At 39.2% G+C, this 18,390-nt stretch overlaps 1 annotated feature.

Annotated features, from left to right (window-relative positions):
- Positions 12,907-13,407: an enhancer, noted in NCBI's record as "H3K27ac hESC enhancer chr10:10409107-10409607 (GRCh37/hg19 assembly coordinates)". NCBI's record gives its function as "activates a minimal SCP1, AML or CMV promoter by ChIP-STARR-seq in primed H9 embryonic stem cells {active_cell/tissue: H9 hESC(primed)}" and the evidence as "EXISTENCE:reporter gene assay evidence [ECO:0000049][PMID:30033119]".

Genomic DNA, 18,390 nt, shown 5'->3' on the forward strand with positions numbered 1-18,390 from the left:
TAATGGTGTTTGAGTGTTTGTAATGGCTGAGAAGAATGAAATTCCCTGCCATTCTTACCAGTAATGTCCTTCTGGATGTGGCAATATACAGAAAGTGGTCTTTACAAGGAGTTATTTTGGAGATATTTGCAGGAAAGCACATTTAGGCACAGGAGGAGGGGATATTGTGGGGGGACATCAAGGATGAGCATTATAACCATGTGATTAGCCATTTTAACGTTAAATAAAATCAATCTACTACATCAAAGGTATTTAGGAATAACTGCCCAACTAAAAGAAAAAAAGTACATCTAATAAGCGTGGAAATTATAATACGAATAGCTAACATCTGAAACAACAGCAGAGTAAGGAAAGATTGTGGGTTTTCAATCTAAAGTTAGCTCAAAACGTGAAAATTTTCTGCAGTCAAATTAATCTTGAGAATTCTCAAATTATTCCATAAATAGATTTTAGTGTGTGGCATATTTGATTGCATGTAGGCCAAGATTGCAGCTCTTATAAACCCTAACATTATAATCCACTGAGCTAGACCAAAAGAAGAAACAAAAGATTGTACTCAGATGTCTGGGCATTCAAACTAATGCCCTTTGGTAAACCACCACATTCTAAGAAGTCAATAGATGTTAGATGGGAAATATTTAAATGTTCCTGCATCCCTGAAGGGATTATGCAAATTTTTATTTTTTATTAACATTAATTGGAATGTATGTTACTGTTTCTTATTATGAAGACTGTTTAATTTTAATACAATAGAGTTAAATCTTAGAAGAGGTACAGAATCAGCTCTAAAATTATCATGTGCTTATGGAAAGACACAACTATGTAGAATGGAGGATGGAACTTTAAAGTATTGAACATTCTTCTTGATTCTATCACTAATAAACCCTTAGAATAAGACATTCTTTGTGTTTCTCTATATTTTAGTTTCCCATCTGAGAAATGGGGTTACAGCCATAGCTTCTATCACCTAATAGCTTATTAATGTGAAAGTTCCAATGCTCTTGCCTGCAAGACATCCCTGAAGCTGGCTGCCCTTATCCTTCATTACTTATCTCAATACTCACTTCTTCAGGTGACCTCCCATTTGACTGATATTTTAGGACAGACTTGATTACCTCTATTAAAGCTTGGGTTATTTACTCAAACTATTCGCTTATTTATCTTCAGTCTAGAAAGTTCCTTGTGATACCTGGCTCTTCTCCCACTTCCTAGTGCAATGCTTGGTTAATTGTAAGTTTTTTTGTGTGTTCAAGGAATAGAAAGCAGAGGAGTAAAATCTTAGAAATAGAGGGAGGTGATTTTTAAATTTCTGATCCAGCATTCGAATCTCTTTATAATATTCTTGATACATAGATTACAGCCTTTTGTAGTCAATAAAATGGAAGTACCTATTTTGGTACAACTTGTTATTTCTTTCTTAAATTAAATGAATGGTGTTTCTCTCTAACTTCAAAAATTATTTATCCAAGAAGATTTTATTGAGCACTTTTTAGCTCTATTCTAGTTAATGTAAGACCTTGTCCCTAACTTCAAGAAGCTCTCAAATTAGTAGAGAACAAAGGACATCAAGACAAGTCATTATAACACTTATGTTTACCAAGCATGATGCAAAAAAAAAGTCTGTGCAGTAAAACCAAGGGTTTGCCTAAATACATTGCTTCCAGAGGCACATTGACTGATGACCAGTATATTATGTAAAAACTCTTGCCAGATGGCATTCCAGATGTATTTATTCAGAGACGAATAAAAATAATAACTGCTTATTATATGCTAGACAGTGCTCTAAGCACTTTATATTATTAAATCATTTTGTTACTAGCACAACACTTTGAGGTCAGTACTGGAACCAAAAGAGGTTAATAACACGTGCAAGTTTCTGCCGCCGATATGCAGCAAGGTCCGGATTTCCATGGTGGCAGTCTGACTCTTGAAGTTTGCACTCCTAGCCGCCTTGCCATGCTGCAAGAGAGAAGTCATTTCTACAGGAGCTTCATTTTCTTTCAATGTCCATGTAAATATAAATGCACATATTCTGTTAGTACTGAGGCAAAAGCAAAGTAGAAAGAACAATATCTAGCACTTTGGGAGGCTGAGGCAGGCAGAACACTTGAGGCCAGGAGTTCAAGACCAGCCTGGCCAACATAGTGAAACCTCATCTCTACTAAAAAGAAAAATTAGCCGGGCGTGGTAGTGGGCACCTGTAGTCGCAACTACTCAGGAAGCTGAAGCAGAAGAATTGCTTCAACCCAGGAGGCAGAGGTTGCAGTGAGCCAAGATCATGCCACTGTACTCCAGCCTGAGTGAGAGAGTGAGGCTCTATCTCAAAAAAAAAAAAAACAAAAAAAAAAACAAAAAAAAAAAACAGCAATATCTAGAACTAAATAAATATAGATTCTATGTGTTGATATGTTGGAAGTTGAATAATTGTTGGAAGCCAAAGATTGTCTGGAATTTACAGCTGAGACTTGACTGAAGAGAGTAACCATATTAACACCATCCTCCATTTAGGGTCACACAGAAGATGAACTAAAGCAGAATCCACCAAGGAAGTAAGGAACTCTAGATGGCCCAAGGTCAGAGACAATTCTCATAGTCACATCCATCAAATGGTCATGTCAGTTGACTGCTGGAGACAAAGCTGGATGCATACGCATGTATATCCAACACACACGCAAGATATATGGAGAGATTCCATCCATTATTTTGAAACACATGTATTGAATATCTCATGTTAGTCAACTAATGGCCATGAGAAAGGTCAGAGTAAAAAAAACAATGATAGTTATATAATAGCACCCAAGATTCTGGTACCCAGAGAACACAGGTCAAGTAAGCAGCACCTCATTAAATGACGCTTGCACAAAATCTCTCTTTCTACCTGGTGTGCACATGTTATAACACCATGTGTCATACTGTGTATACGTGATGTTTTAGAAACAGAGATGAGGCAGGAGCTTTTAAAGCTACACAGAAAACTAAAAACTAATGTAATTTTCTCACGATTGTCCTTCAAATAGTATATCTCCATGCAGACTTTCAGAACCAGCTGAATTGTTCTCTTGTCATATAGATTTACCCTTGATGGACATTAATACCTCATGTATCACTTATCGTATTCATTCTCTTCTTCATGTATTCTAATCGATAATATCCCCCTTCACATAACCCAGGATTGAGCACAATACTGCACGCATTGGTCTATGTGATGCCCAGAAAGCTGACTTATTCATTGACTCCCTTACCCTGTTCTCTTATTGCAGCCCAAGTGAGTATTTGCTAATATTACCTGATGCAGGTCCTGTTAGACCATACTGACCTTACAGTCTTTTTCATACAAATTATTGTTAATCTAGGTCTCCCTTATGCTATAACTTATTTCATCTTGTTAAGTTTAGCCCATCTTTCTGATCCAGGGTTATGAAGAGGGTTGGTTGGTGCCTCTTTACAGTGACTTTATTAGCAAATCAAACGGGTAAACTTCTCAGCTTTCAGTCATTCATAAATTTGATAAGCAGATCTTCACTATAAGTAGTTGCTAAAAATGTCAAGCCTGTGATAATTATGGCTAATATGCCTTGAAACATTTGGAGGAGGAGCTCAGGATAGGTAAAAGGTATATTATGTCTATATTTAATGCAATTATGAATGTGATAATTATTATTTTCTCATTTTCCTCTCCATTATTTGTTCCTTAATTCTCCTTACCTGTCTTATTTTGGTTAATCAAAATATTTTGCTTTTCCATTGCATTTCCTCTACTTGTTTCTTCCCCAAATTGCTTTGTATTTTTTTAAACATTTTTTCTCTAGGATTGTAGTACAGATATCCACATTAGCAAAATCTATCTTGGCATTAATATTATATCACTTACTGATTAACATAGGAATTTTACACCTCCTTCTTTCTTTCGTACTCTTGTTATCATGTTTTTCTACTTATATATTTAAATTCATTATTTCTATAGATTATGTATTAGATTCGTCATATTTTTTAAAAAAAAAAAAATCCCAACTGCTAATTTCTACATCTGATTCATCTGAAGGTCTATTTTTACAGACTGATTTTACTTTTTGTATATCTTCTCATTAAAAAAATTAAATTATGGATGATATATTGGTGAGACTGAATTCTATTATCTTTTTCAAAGGAATGAAGGGTTTCATTCTAGTAGGAGTTAAATACCACAAATCAACTTGAACTGGTAGATACTTTGTTTCAAGCTTTGTTAAGGTAGGTCTATTCTGTTTTTTCCCTTAATTCTTGTGTGACTCCTTTAGTTTTGTATGTGGTACTCCTAACTCTTTTGAGAGTTCAGTGAAAAGCTCAAAACATTTTCCAAGCCTCTGTAACCTAGTGGGACCTGATTTCTTATCATACTTCCGTCTCTTGTGTGGTGGGGAGCTACTAAAATCTCTTTCCACTGTCTCAGCTTTAAGTGGCTCTTTTCTCCTGAGCCCCTTGGTGTCTCATCTCACAAATACACTGTTCAAGGTTTAAGGTATTTGAAATGTATTTATAGGCCAATTTGGGGGTTCTTCCTTCTGTGGTTCTATTCTTTCTGGGATTCCATCTACCCCTCTCAATTTCCAGCTACCTTGCATCCCCTAACTTTATCCTTTACCTCATCAGGCTAATAAAATTGTGTTTCCATGGTAGATTGTATCCATCCCTGGTAGGGGGAATTGGGGATTGTCTTCAGGGGAAAACTGTGTTGCCCAGATTCCACCCATATTGTTTTCCTTCATTCAAGAGTCAAATCCTTTCCAGCTTCTATCTGAATTGGGTCATTCTCCAATGCCTTCAAACAACTTGTTAAATATAATTGTTAGTAGAAAACTGCCCAGTGCAAGTGACTCTGAAATCACTGAAAATTGGAACCAATGATATATTCTAAAATACAAATGCATTTTATGTAAACAATTAATTATGTCTATAAAAGAACACAAGGATCAGATGATACTGTGAATAGATCTGGCTCTGAATCCTAACTTACTTCTGTGATTGCAGGAAAGTTACTTCATCTGTAGATTTCATTTCTAAGGTAGCTATTTTCCCAGGAATATTGTAAGTCTCAAAAATATTAATTCCTTATCCCATCCCATTGTTAAGGGCAACTGAAGAAGATTGAGTTTAACATTTTGAAGCAATTTGAACACTGCAGAGGAGACAGAACCTCTCAGAGTTAATATAGCTCCCCAGGTTGCTAAAGCAACTGAGAGGCTTAGGTACTGTAAGAATACGATTCGTTCAGTTCTATAAATAACACTGTATCCTTGCACTTGGCATAGCTTCTTTTTTGGGAACAGGGAGGGGAAGGAAAGAATGTCAAGACAAATTTACTTTTCCAAATAATTTTTAATGAATAAAGGTGATGGTACTAGTATGTCTTCTCTTATTTTCATTAAGTCCTCTTTGAGAAACAAGTTAAAGGAATAGAAATTTGTGGGTTCTTTAGAAGAATAAGTCACACACACATAAAAATGACAGCAAGAGGTTTTTTTTAAAAAAAAACCATAATTATTTTTCTATTTCAGATATATCTTAGAGATGGGTCCTTAGGTTGATTGAAGCCAGCAAGCGTGTCATATGACCCCTCTTTTACTCAAAACATTTTGTTTTCCAAGCTATAGATAGTGGTACTTTCTAGTTCTCTCAATTTGTTTTTTTTGTGTTATCTGTGTAGTCAACCATTGAAAAACAGTTTTTAAAGTATTGCCTATATGTGTATCTTATTTACTACTAGGAGAAAATTCTACTTGTGAAATGTTGGATATTGAAGCTTATAAACCAGATTTGGATTTGTGATAAAGTTTATATTCCCAAAGTTTTGATGTCTCCTAGTCCATGATTTTGTATATATATGTATATATAATATATATACACACACACAAATATATGTATGTTTATGCATATACATATATACCTATACATATTCATATATACATCTATATATGACTTTACACAATGTAGACATGAAGCTAAAATTGAAAAGGAAGATAGGAATAAAGCATGCACGTTTTCTTACCTATACTTAGGATTTGTGCTTAAGTTTGGGCAGAAAGGGGTGAGTAAAGCTAAGACAGTGGTTTTGGAGTGAGAACACTGCACTCTTCAGCAATGATACTTTTCAAAAGTCTTTGAGGATAGAAGACATACTAAACTTACTAAATTAGGCAGAAACGCAGGTATTTCAGGTAGGGATGATATGCATGTGAAAAAAGAGGAAGGAAGGAGACAGGAAGGGAGGGAAGGAGGAAGAATAGAGAACATGAGATTATAAAACTACTGTAATACTAAAAAGGTGAAGTAGTATTACATTATGAGACTAGGTCATGTCATAAAAAAGAATACTCTTAATGATCAGTCAGCTGGGTTTGAATCTTGATTCTGCCTAATTCTTGGTGAAATTATGAAAATTCTCTGAGTTTTAGTCCTCATCTGTAGAAATGGAAATAATATCCAACCCCCACATGTGTTTCAATGTTATGGTGGAGATTAAATTAACTGGTGTGAGAATATGTGCCACAATATCATATGGCAAATGTCCATAGGTAAATTGCAGAGGAGTGATCAAATCAGTCAACCAGACTTCCACATTCACTCTTACTTAGACATAAGCTTTTGGCTTTTTTTTTTTTCTTTTCAGAGAAAAACAAAACAGGCAAACAAAAAATCTGACTCTGCAGTTTATACAGAAGAATTACTTTTTGTCCAATACATAATTATCCTGCAATATACAGATATGTCACTAAGGTTGCTTTAGCATTTTATATTTTTTCAATAAACAAGTTAACATTTTTATTTCTAAATGTTAGAGAGGAGACTGAAAACAAGCTGCTGCGAAAGGTACTTTTGAAATTATGTGTTCTGACAAGGATCAGAGCTAAAGAGATAGCTAACAGTTATTAGCGTTCAAATCCTCAATGATGTCCCAGGTGGTAAAACAATACATGACCCAATTCATCCACCCATCCCTTTGATCAATGCAATGGAAGGTTTAGCAGCAGTGTTCACTGGAGATGACCTCATGTAGACGAGATGTGCTTGGTTCATCCCTTCTGTAGCTCCATGTTACTGAACATTTATTGACCTTAAGAATCTTATCTATATAACTTCATATAATGCTGTCAATAATCCCCTAAGGCTTGTTCCTTCTTCACAGGGGAGGCAGCTGAGGCTCAATAAAGTTTCCCAAAGTCACACTACCAGCAAGAGGTGAAGCTAGGTTCAAAATCAGACAATTTGCCCATCAGAGCTCCAGAGTGGCGTATACCTTCCCCAAGTGGACTGTCATGGAAATTTCTGTGGTTTCTCTCTATTGGATGAAGGGATCAGAATAACACATGCTGGCCTTTTTTTCTACCTGTTTCAACTTGGCTCTTTTAAAGTGTTATAAGTTGGAGGTATGTGAAACTAAACACAAATGGAGTCTTTGAATGAGAAAGCCAGCTGCCAGGGGACAGCCTCAGGAATGTGTGAATGTACTGAGGCTTTGTGAATATGCATGCTTCTCCCTGCAAGTCCGGAGGGCTTCCAGATACAGTACTTTGCCCACATTCGTCTCAAGATAATTGTATGTGTACACTGACCTCAGGTGTTTTTGCTTCTGTAGCAATAGTCAGATGGAGGTTACCTATTACCCTTTCCCTTGACTTCTTCTCCCTCGAATGCAACCTGAACTCATTGACTAAAAACTCTGAGTCTGTGCCCAGACCCCCAGTGGCAGCAGCATGTGAGTCCTTAAAAACATGGTCTGAGAACATCCGGACACAGATTCACCAGGGAAAGGCTTTGTCCACATCATAAAACAGATGGTTTCAAAGAAAGACTATTTTTCTACAGATGATTAGTGATCAGAATAGACACTGGATAAGTTTCTCAGAAGAGAGATTTTAGTCTGAAGGCTAAGAAAATATTGTCTGTGTAGATGCCTGTATGTTTGCAGGCTTCAGAAGTTTAACCTTTCAGCATACTTTGCAACCCCCTATATTACTTGAAAATTTCATGTTCTCCAATGTAATTGTTTAGAACAAAAGTAGTACTGGACACTTCCATAAGGTTAATTGGCACAAACTAGGTTTTCATAAAAGAAAGGATGAAACAATAAGTTACGAAAAACTTCTCAGGGTACCCATGAAGGAGTAAGTTAAGGTATTTCTATTTAATGGTTTATTTTATGTGCAGATCCACTTTTATTCATTTGTGTTTCAATACGTATTTGCTGGAGATAAAATAATGAATAAAACTGTACAGTTTTGCCCTCTTAAAATGAAGAGACAAGTAAATAGACAATTACATTGCAGTAGGATGTGAACTTTAATAATACAGCATGCCTTGATAGACCTTAAGAGAGGCCCCTGAATCAAGGATAAGGAGGCTTTCTTGGTGGAAATGGTGATTAAAATGTGCTTAAAGAATAAATAGGGGCTGAGACGGGCAGATCACGGGGTCAACAGTTCGAGACCAGCCTGGCCAACATGGCAAAACCCTGTCTCTACTAAAGATACAAAAATTAGCTGGGTGTGGTCATGGGCACCTGTAATCCCAGCTACTTGGGAGGCTGAGGCAGGAGAATTGCTTGAGTCTGGGAGGCAGAGTTTGCAGTGAGCTGAGATCGTGCCACTGCACTCAAGCCTGGGTGACAGAGTAAGACTCTGTCTCAGAAAAAAAAAAAATAGTAGGAGATTTACAGAGAAGGAATCAATGGGAAGGAACACTGTGAGGAGAAGTCAGTTCCGCTTTGCACATGCTGACTTGAAGGTGTCTCAAATACATACTAATAATAGCTCACATTTCTGCTGAGTTCTGGGAATGTGTCAGACAAGTTTTAAATGTTGTCTCCAATGCTCTCAACAACCTAAGGAGGTAGATTTTTTTTTATCGTGCTTTTTATGAGGTTGAAATAAATGTTTGTGAGTCATTCACATATTGACTGTAATGGAAACGATGGGAGGGTGTCAGAGTGCCCAAGGGAGGTACAAAGTGAGAGAAGAAGAGAATCATGGAAGGTCCTGAGGAAGTTCACCCAGGAGACAGAGGCTGAACAACTGAACAGATGGAAGACAAGCCAGGACAATGCCCTATCATGGAATCAAGAAAAGAGTTGGCATCAAGAAAGCAGGTGTCATCATCCAGCATGCTGGATGAGAAGACAGTCACTCTGAGGGCGGAGTGTGGTTGCCGGGAGTCGGAACATCTTCCAGGGAACTGAAGGGAGGACAGAAAGTAAGGAAGGAGAGACAGGAAGGAGAGCAACTTTCCTCTTAAGAAATACCAGGCTGAAAGGAGAGAAGAAAGAGAGGGCAGTACGAAAGTGGAGCACGGGATTGAGAGGCTTTGCTGGTTTGTGTTTTTTAGGTTGGAAGAGACCAAAGCGTATTTACATACTGAGGATGAGAACGGCAGGAGTGAAGGAAAGGTTGAAGAAGGAACAGGGGAGAAAGTGGAGGTACCTATAGGAAGGCATCTCAGGGAGCCAAAGGAGGTGGGAACTGGATGCAAGCAGGGCCTTAGCTTAGGCTGGGAGGAGGAGGAACGATTCTTTAATACAGCCAAAAGGAAGGAGAGAAGGCTGCACTGTGGACATGGGTAGATTGCTATATTCGGCTCTCTCTGCCATAACCCTCACTCCTCACGTAGATTGTTTGACAAAATTCAATCCCATACAGCAGGTCCTCCAATGTGGTCATTTCATTGCACAGAGTTTCATTACAACATTGATGATAAAAAAAAATAATAATAATTCTTTGCTTGGGCCACTGTCTGTGGAGTTTGCACATTATCCCCACATCTATGTGGGTTTTCTCTGGGGACTCCAGTTTGCTCCCACGTCGCCAAGATATGCATGTTAGGTGAATTGATGTGTCTAAACTGTCCCTATCTGTGTGAGTATGGGTGTGTGTGTGAGTGAGCCCTGCAGTGGGATGGGGTCCTGTTCAGGTTGACTCTGAACTGTAATAAATGGGTAAATAATTCTCTGACTTGTTTTTATGAATCTTTAAAAAATATGAGTTAGCTCACATTTAGCTTAATGTTTAATGTTAGAAGGGTTTTGGTCTTTGTATGGACGTTTGGTGTTGTTTTCGTGGCCAGAAATATGCCACAGAACCGTAACTTGTTTATATCAATTAGTCTATGGAAAAATTAGTTTCACTCTACACAGTTTCATTTAGAGTTGCAGTTTTCAGAAACCTATAGACAACATTAAGTGAGGGCTTACTAGAATGGATTAGTTAACCAAAACTACCCCAATGTAATTGAGATTCACTGAGCTGTTTAGCTGTGTTTGCTTCTTGTTCAGCCAGCCACATACTAGTTAGTATTTGCTAACAAATAGCAAAGAACATTTTAAAAAATCAAGGGTGAGCATAAAATTAACATATCCCAACACCTCACTTATTCATATTTCTGGCTTGGTCAGCCTTCTTAAACATTAGGAAATATTGTCAGGATTTTCCACCTGCATTAATATGTCAAAATCAGGGGGAGTGAAGAAGTTTGGTGACTTAGATACAGCTTTGAAACAAACAGGTCTACACCATCTTGGTTCTTGTATTGGAATCCTTTTTGTTCAGCGTTGCCGCTGAAGTTATTTTCGGAACATCATATGGATTTTTCATTGAAACATCTGTGTTAACTTTTATTATCCCTGGTCTGTTTTGTAATTTTGGAAACAGATATAAAAAATCGCAACCCAAAGCACAGTAATATAGTGGGAAGCATCCTTCATAAGTCAATTGAGGAATTTAATAATCTCTTTAGAAATAAGCTCTGCAGCTATGAGAAAAATGTGTGGGTTAAAGGCCTTCCAATTAAGAAAGGTTTCTCTGTGGATTTATAGGCTGGTGGTTCACTCTTCCTGTTCGTGTCTCCATAGCAACTGTCAGGTAGATTTTCTGCTGCTTGCTAGGAAGTTGGAAATGTTGAGTCTGGTTGAGCCTTTTCAATTCAGTGAAGCTTAAATGAAATTCTTTGCAAGGAACTGGCATTTAGCCTGGGTCATTTATTCATATCTAGAAGAAAAAAAATCAATTATAGTAATCAAATGTGCAAATTTTTTATTGGGATTATTTTTGGTACATATTTTGTGCTGTAATCTATTTTTAATGGCAGGGTACTAAAGGTTTGAAGGGCTGCAGCTGGCCTCTTCGCTATCTGATGGCTTGTGGCTTTAATTACAGCCCAAGACATAGGAAGGCATGCCTTTTTCTAGTATACTTTTGCAAGCTATAATCACCCCTGGTGATATTCAGAAGCAAACTAGAATCCAGGAGCCTCATTAAGTTGAGACACCTATATTGCAGCAAATACAATGTACAACCTTTTATTCTTTCATTTTTCCTGTCCTGTTGGTTATTTGAACTAAAGCTTTGGAAAATAAATCATGTATATGCCACCATTTAAATTTCTTTGGAGTATATTGTCTTCATTTTCCCTTCAGATTAAACCCACTTGAGCGTCACTCACTATGGTTAATTTCAACCCACATTGACTGATGCCTGACAGCTCCACGTAGGATGGTCTCCTTTAATCCAAAAAAAAAAAAAAAAAAAAATCAAGCATGTAGGTGGGCAAAGTGAACTCTTTACATAACATACAACACATGCCACACAAAGGGAAGATATCTAAGGGACCATGCTTAGTGCGTTCTTTTGTTAGCATCTTTTCTCACTGGCAGAGAAACAGCAGCTTCTACAGAAAATAAATCACAGTCCTTATTTCACACAGTGGTGCTATTTTTATCTCCCAGCTCCCCTGTGGATATTTATTATAAGATATATTATTTACAACAATGGCTTTAGATGCATATTTTAGTTCATTTTGTTACATTCCTCCTTTGTCATTTGTATACCATGCCTTTACCTATTACAACGACGCTTCTTACGATATATAGTAATCGACTGCTGGCAGGAATACAAATAAAACTGAGAAAGAGAGAGAGGGAGGGAGATTAAAAAAGTCAGAGCTGAAATGTCCTTTACTTACTTGCCTTGCCTTGTCTTATTTTCTTCCTCTTTGGTCTAGAAACTGTGCTTTCTTCTATTAAGCCAAATAAAAACTTTCTGAGAAGAGCAATTGAAGCTGAAAGAAGCTCACTCTTCAGTTGCTACACTAGGAAGTGGAAATGAAGTTGCTGGGTTCTGCTCTTAAGTTTATTTACTCTAAAAGGTGGGCAATTTTCTCTTAAAATAAATCGTACTTGGAGTTACATGGCTCAGCCAGCACAAGATGCATCTATGCCCGGGAGCTGAGAGTCAGAGAAAGGGGATGTTCCGTTGAGATCTGGAGAGCTGGACAGGAAACAGACTTTCTTGGTTACAGCATACACTAGAATATCCACATACAGGGACGGATGCATCGTTTGACCGAGCATATACTGGAATATTCACATGCACAGACAGATGCATCGTTTGACCACAGACATCACTGGGACTCGGCTCTACCACTTGTAAACAGAGCCATCCTTAGTAAAAGCATGTGGTGGAAGCCTCTTGCTTTGGGGAAACAGAAAGACAGATGTTGGCCGCCACCCATGAGAGGCAAACGTCAGGCCTTCCTTGCTGCCAGCATCTATATGTTGGGTCAGAGCTCTCCCTTCCTCCACCTGCTCCTCACTCCAGGCAAATGCCTCTGCCACCTCCAGTAGCTTTGGTCCAGTATGTGATCAGGCTGTCCCTGAGCTGTCCCCATGGCCAGGGGATGGGGGACAAACCATTGAGGAGGCCACTGCCCTATGCTACTCCTTAGCTCAGTGCAGCTTTAATTCAGAAAAGGTGCCTTTTGGGGCCCTCTCTGTGTCCTTGACTTCCAGGCCTTATGCCCAGTCCTTGAGGCTGTGGCACCTGCTCCATGCACTTGCGGCCTCCAGGCTGCCCTGAGCTCTCTCCTTCTAGACTTTAGTTCCTGGGAAAATGGAGACCTCTTCTGAGTGGGCCTCAGAACCACTTCTTTGGCTTTGCAGTGAGATGACTTTCCATGGACTATGCCTCCCACCTACCCAGCTCCTGTCCTGCATCTGGCTCATGGCAGGCATCTTGCTTAGTGCCACTGAGCTGAGCTGCAAAGACGCTAGGGTCCCCTCTTCCCTCCGCTTCCCCACCTTCACTCCCAGTATCCTGGCCTGATTTTTCTCTTCCTCTATGTAAGGCTGTTTCCTCCAGTCCCGCTGCTCTGGCTTAGCTCATTCTTCATTTTCCCGGTGACAACATGGCAGGGTCAGGAGTCCTCACAGTAGTCAAGCGTCCGCTCCCTGCAGTTCAGATCACCACCTCTTCCTGCCACTCCCCAGTACCCACTCATCAAGACTTTGTGTAAATACCAATTCAAATGTTAGTTAAAATCTCTCTTTACCCCTGGCAGTTGTCCCTCAAAGGTCTCCTTTCAGAGCTGTAATGATTATTAGCAAGTTACTTACCTTCTCTAAGCCTCAGGTTCTGAATTCATGAAGTAGGTATAATTGTGTATAAATCATATTGCTGTGAAGATTGAATTAATTGATGCATATAAAATCTGTAAAGGAGTGGTTGGCACTTTCTAAAGTGCTTGATAAATATTAGCTTTTATTGTTGTTCTTTGTGGGGTTTTTGTGTGCAAAGAGCCGAAGCTTTCAAATCCTACAGATATGTGTTTGAATCTGTCCTCCGCCATTGACTGCCTGTATAATTTTGAGTAAGTTTTAAAATTTTGCTGAGCCTGTTTTTCTTCTAGTAAAATGAGGGAATTCAGACCTGCTTCCTAGGACTGCTAAGGGCATTAAATGAAAGGAGGCCTTTGTGTTTTCTAGAAAAGCAGTTCCCATCATCCCACAGTAATAACTGTTTTTTCTCCTTCAGCAGGTTGTTTTTTAAAAATTCTAACTTAGTATTCTTTTTTATCTTTAGCTCCCCATCGGGTGCCTAAAACACTTACTCATAATCCTCCTCTATCTTATTAGCTCTCTTCTTGGAAATGATTTCCCTTTCCTCTTTGATCCTTAGCAAAACCTCTGCTGCATCCATGCCATCCCTCTTAGAATACCAGAAGGCAAGTGATCCACCTTTCAGCGCCTTCCCCCTTGCAAAGCTGGGTGAGTTTTTTTGTTTGTTTTTGTTTTGTTTTTTTGAGATGGAGTTTTGCTCTTGTTGCCCAGGCTGGAGTGGAATGGCACGATCTCAGCTCACTGCAAGCTCTGCCTCCCAGGTTCAAGTGATTCTCCTGCCTCAGCCTCCCGAGTAGCTGGGATGACAGGCATGCACCACCCTGCCTGGCTAATTTTGCATTTTTAGTAGAGATGGGGTTTCTCCACGTTGGCCAGGCTGGTCTCAAACTCCTGACCTCAGGTGATCCACCCGCCTCAGCCTCCCAAAGTGCTGGGATTATAGGCGTGAGCTACCGCACCCGGCCTGGGTGAGTATTTTTAAGAGGCTGCTTCTAAAAGCAACACAGTGGCCCCCTCACTGGGGTGGGATGCCACATCAGAATGAGGGCATGTGTTAGCACAGTGCAGAGAGTAGTGACTAAAAGGGATGCCTTCCAAGCACCTCTCACCCCAAGGAGCCCACTCCCAACTCTAAGCGTGAAGCTGCCCCACTGGCAGAGGTGGGAAGTGCCCGGGATATCTTATGTCCAGTTTCTCCTATCTCTAGCCTAGTTTCACATTTGAGATTTTTAGGGTTTTTATTTTCCTAGCTCCTCAATCCCAGCTGTGGTCCTCATTCCCTTGCTATGCCTGCAATCCCTGCAAGTGTAGAATGTGGAATTATTCTTGTCAAATCTGCCCCTTCCAGATTGGCTAACTTGAAGATCAGAGCTTTCTGCAGAAGAAAAGACTTCCTGGCTCAATGTGTCAGCTCCGTTTCATGTAGCTAGATCTTTCAATTTGTAGCATAACCCCTGCAGCACTAGAGAGAAAAGATGATATGTCTGAAATGCTGAACTATGGTCACCCCTGTCTACCATTATGTTTCCACAGACATTTCTATAAAAAGCTGCAAAACCAAGGGGTCTCAGATCTGACACCTGAAATGGCTGCAGTCCCACAAAGGCACCCCTTTTCACGTCCCTTGTTGATTGGCCCATCCCATCCTGCCTTTCAACACGCAGCCCGTAACTCTATATTTAGGGCAATGGCCAGCCATATGCTGTATACATGTTCCAGACACGTCTCACTCCTCTCTTGGATGGCTTCCCCTGTGAATTTGGTGTTAAACTCAGGACTGTGTTCCTAGCTCAGCTCAGCTGCTTATTGTGTGACATTACACACTTTTCTGGAGCTTTCCTATGTTTCGTGCTCTATAAAATAATCAACAATAGTGACGGCTCTTATATTGAGTGCTTTCTGTCTGCCCAGATCTTATTTTAAATGTGTCCTATGTGTGAGTTTCTGTGGATGCACCAATTCCTTTACACTTCACCGCAGTCTTATGAATGAGATATTATTGCAGGGAGGAAATGGAAGCAGAAGTGCTCCCAGGTAGCAAACGGTAAAAATGGAATTTGCACTCAGAGCCTATATGCTTAATCCTAAGTTACTTTGATTTCTTTGAATTTGCAGGTTGTAATATATGCAACTACAATCAATTCTCATTATTCACAGTAGTTATATTCTATGAAGTCACTGCAAACACTGAATTAGCAAATACTGAACGCTTGCTGCTAAGAGAAATACAGGGCTAGCTGCCCATGAGTGTCTGATTACAACGTTTTCATCAACTAATCAATACGTGACCTTGTTTTGCATATGTTCTTGTTTAAAGCCGTTTAATATACATATCGATGCATTAACATTGAACTCATGGCCCACAGCACCAAAACTCATGCCTGAAGAAAGCTTATATAACACACAGATTTTTCTCCAAAAGGCACACCACAGCCTTCTTGCACTTAGAGGCACTAGATAAGATTCCAACGTTACTCTTGGGGGCCATTTTAAACAGTAAAATCACTAACAAAAGGCACAAAACCATGAAAAATAGACCACGAGAAGGAGACTTGTTTACAGTATGAGAACTGAGACGCAGGTACAGCCTCGTGCCTTATTCAACCTCACCTGGGAAGGCAGATGGGCAACTTTAGATTTTTTGGTTGTTCTGCATTTGTTTGCAAACTGCTGAAAAAGCAACAGTGAGTATTCGTTTGGAGGGTTACAAATAAATTTCAGTGAGTAGGTGAATTCGCAAATATGCAATCTGTGAATAATAAAAATCTCTACATATTAATGAGGGAAGAACATCTCAGAAGATCTTAAAACAAGATCTTCTTCATTACAGAATACATTAGAATATCCACATGCATAGATGGATGCGTCGTGTGGCCACAGAGTTCACTGTGACTCAGCTTTGCCACTTGTAAACAGAGCCATTTTGAGTAAAAGCCTGTGTTGAACTAGGAGTTGGATTTGAGGGGAGCATAGTAGAGGCAGGGGCTCTCCTACTTGCAAAGGCACAGGTCTATTCTACTGTTTTTCTGACTGAAAAAAAAAAAGGAAATATTTTGGTCACCTGTTTGCATGAGGGATGAAGCTTTATCTCTCAGAAATACCTGTATATCTTGACTGCTCTTTTCGGATTTTAGAAACATGTTTTCATTTGTGGATACACAGTCTCTGTGTCTACGAGTTATATTTCTCTTTCTCGGCAATGGATTGGAATGGCATCGAGCAGCAGACACTAAGTAGTATTTTCTCTGGGGAGAAGATAAATGACTGGTAAAATAAAACAATGGAGATTACTCCATTCCCATCTCATAAGCTAGCTCTTGGGACTTGTAAGCCAAGAAGTAGAAGTGGCTGAACTGGGGTTAGAGGGAAGCTAGGTTCCTGGTGTGGTTCTTTATAATCTTGCTATTCAAAGATGGTCTGTGGACCAGCATCAATAGTGTTACCTAGGAGGCTGCCAAAAAAAAAAAAAAAAAAAATGCAGATGCTTAGGCCTCCCTGCAGATCCGCTGAATTCAAATCTGGATTTTAACAAGATCCAAGTGCGCTTCCTAGGTACATGAAATTGAGAGAAGCAGAGCTTTGCAAAACCAAGCCCACATCCCAGCTTGCCATTGCTTCACAATACCACTCACCTGTGAATTCTCTTCTGGGCTCTCTAGTCATCTCTCTGACCACAGCTTTTGCACAGTGCCAAGGTCACTGGGACCCCACTACAAAACTCTAGAACCCTCTGTGACTTTTGCACCAGGACACCACTGAGCCTTCTTTCTCTCAGCGGCTAGTTGTGTTCATTATCCATGAGCAATATCTACGATGAAATATTTAAGTTACAAAATAGCTCACTCGGCCCTCTTGATCAACCACATGGTGTTCTCCTTGTCATAGGTCCTAGAGGTCAAATTGTGACTTTCTTAGTTAACTAACTCATAGCAGAATAGATGTATGAGAGTTTAATATTTCAAATTTTTTAAAATCAAAGTTGGACCAAGTTTTTGTCCAACCCAGACATCCATGACTCTCAAAACTAGACTATCATCAAGGATCAGAAATTCAGTGCAGATTCTTAACTTTAACTTCTCTTATCTACAGTTTCCCAATCTGTAAAATAAATGGAAGATAATGGACTCCTTTCTATTTCACAAACGCTTTATAAAGATCAAATTAGAACGTGAAGAAGTACACTCTTAAACATGACATGCTATGCAAATGCCCATTATAGTAATTGCTATTTCTGGTAAAGATAACACAGTATTAATACTCCTAAAAATTCAACAATTTACTAATACACAGGAGAATATAAATGTATATATTCATTTTCAGGCAGAAAAAAAGTTATTAAAATTTTTGGTGTTACATTTCGGAATTGCCTTTTGACATGTATGGAATCAGAACACATCTTGTAGCCATTTAGATATTGCCTTTGACAGTGACTGCTGGTCGACTGGAACTGACAGAGAGACATCTTGGCTTCTTTCTGAAGTCTGAGGTTCTTAAAATGCAATGAAAGCATTTGGGCCATTTTTAATGGAAATGTCATTCTTGATATTTGTGAAACCATCAGAGACCAGCAAACCTTCTAAAAATCTCCTTTTTGTGTTGCCCTTGCAAAGCACGAATGGTTGTCACATTAAATACCCAGTCATGCAGTCCTTCCCTGCACAGACAGCAATATATTTTCCAAGAAAGCTCATGGGTGGCTGTAACGGATAACCTTAACTCCTCCTCAGATTCAAAATCTGACTGGCCCTCTGTTTGCAAAGGTTAAGTAAGATGTGTGCCATTTGGAAAGCCATTGAATAGCTTCTGAACACACAACCCTTTAACTCATATTGGTTAATGAAGAGTGGTCCCTACTGCATAACTCATTTCCTTCTGGTAAGTGAGGTGTTTGGTGGGGCACGCTTACTCGTCTGAGCCATTAGAAACTAATTTATGCCATCCTGCCTCTGGAATGCAGTGTAACCAGCACATCT

The sequence above is a fragment of the Homo sapiens genome, chromosome 10 (genome assembly GCF_000001405.40).
Source record: "Homo sapiens chromosome 10, GRCh38.p14 Primary Assembly".
Taxonomy (NCBI): Eukaryota; Metazoa; Chordata; class Mammalia; order Primates; family Hominidae; genus Homo; species Homo sapiens.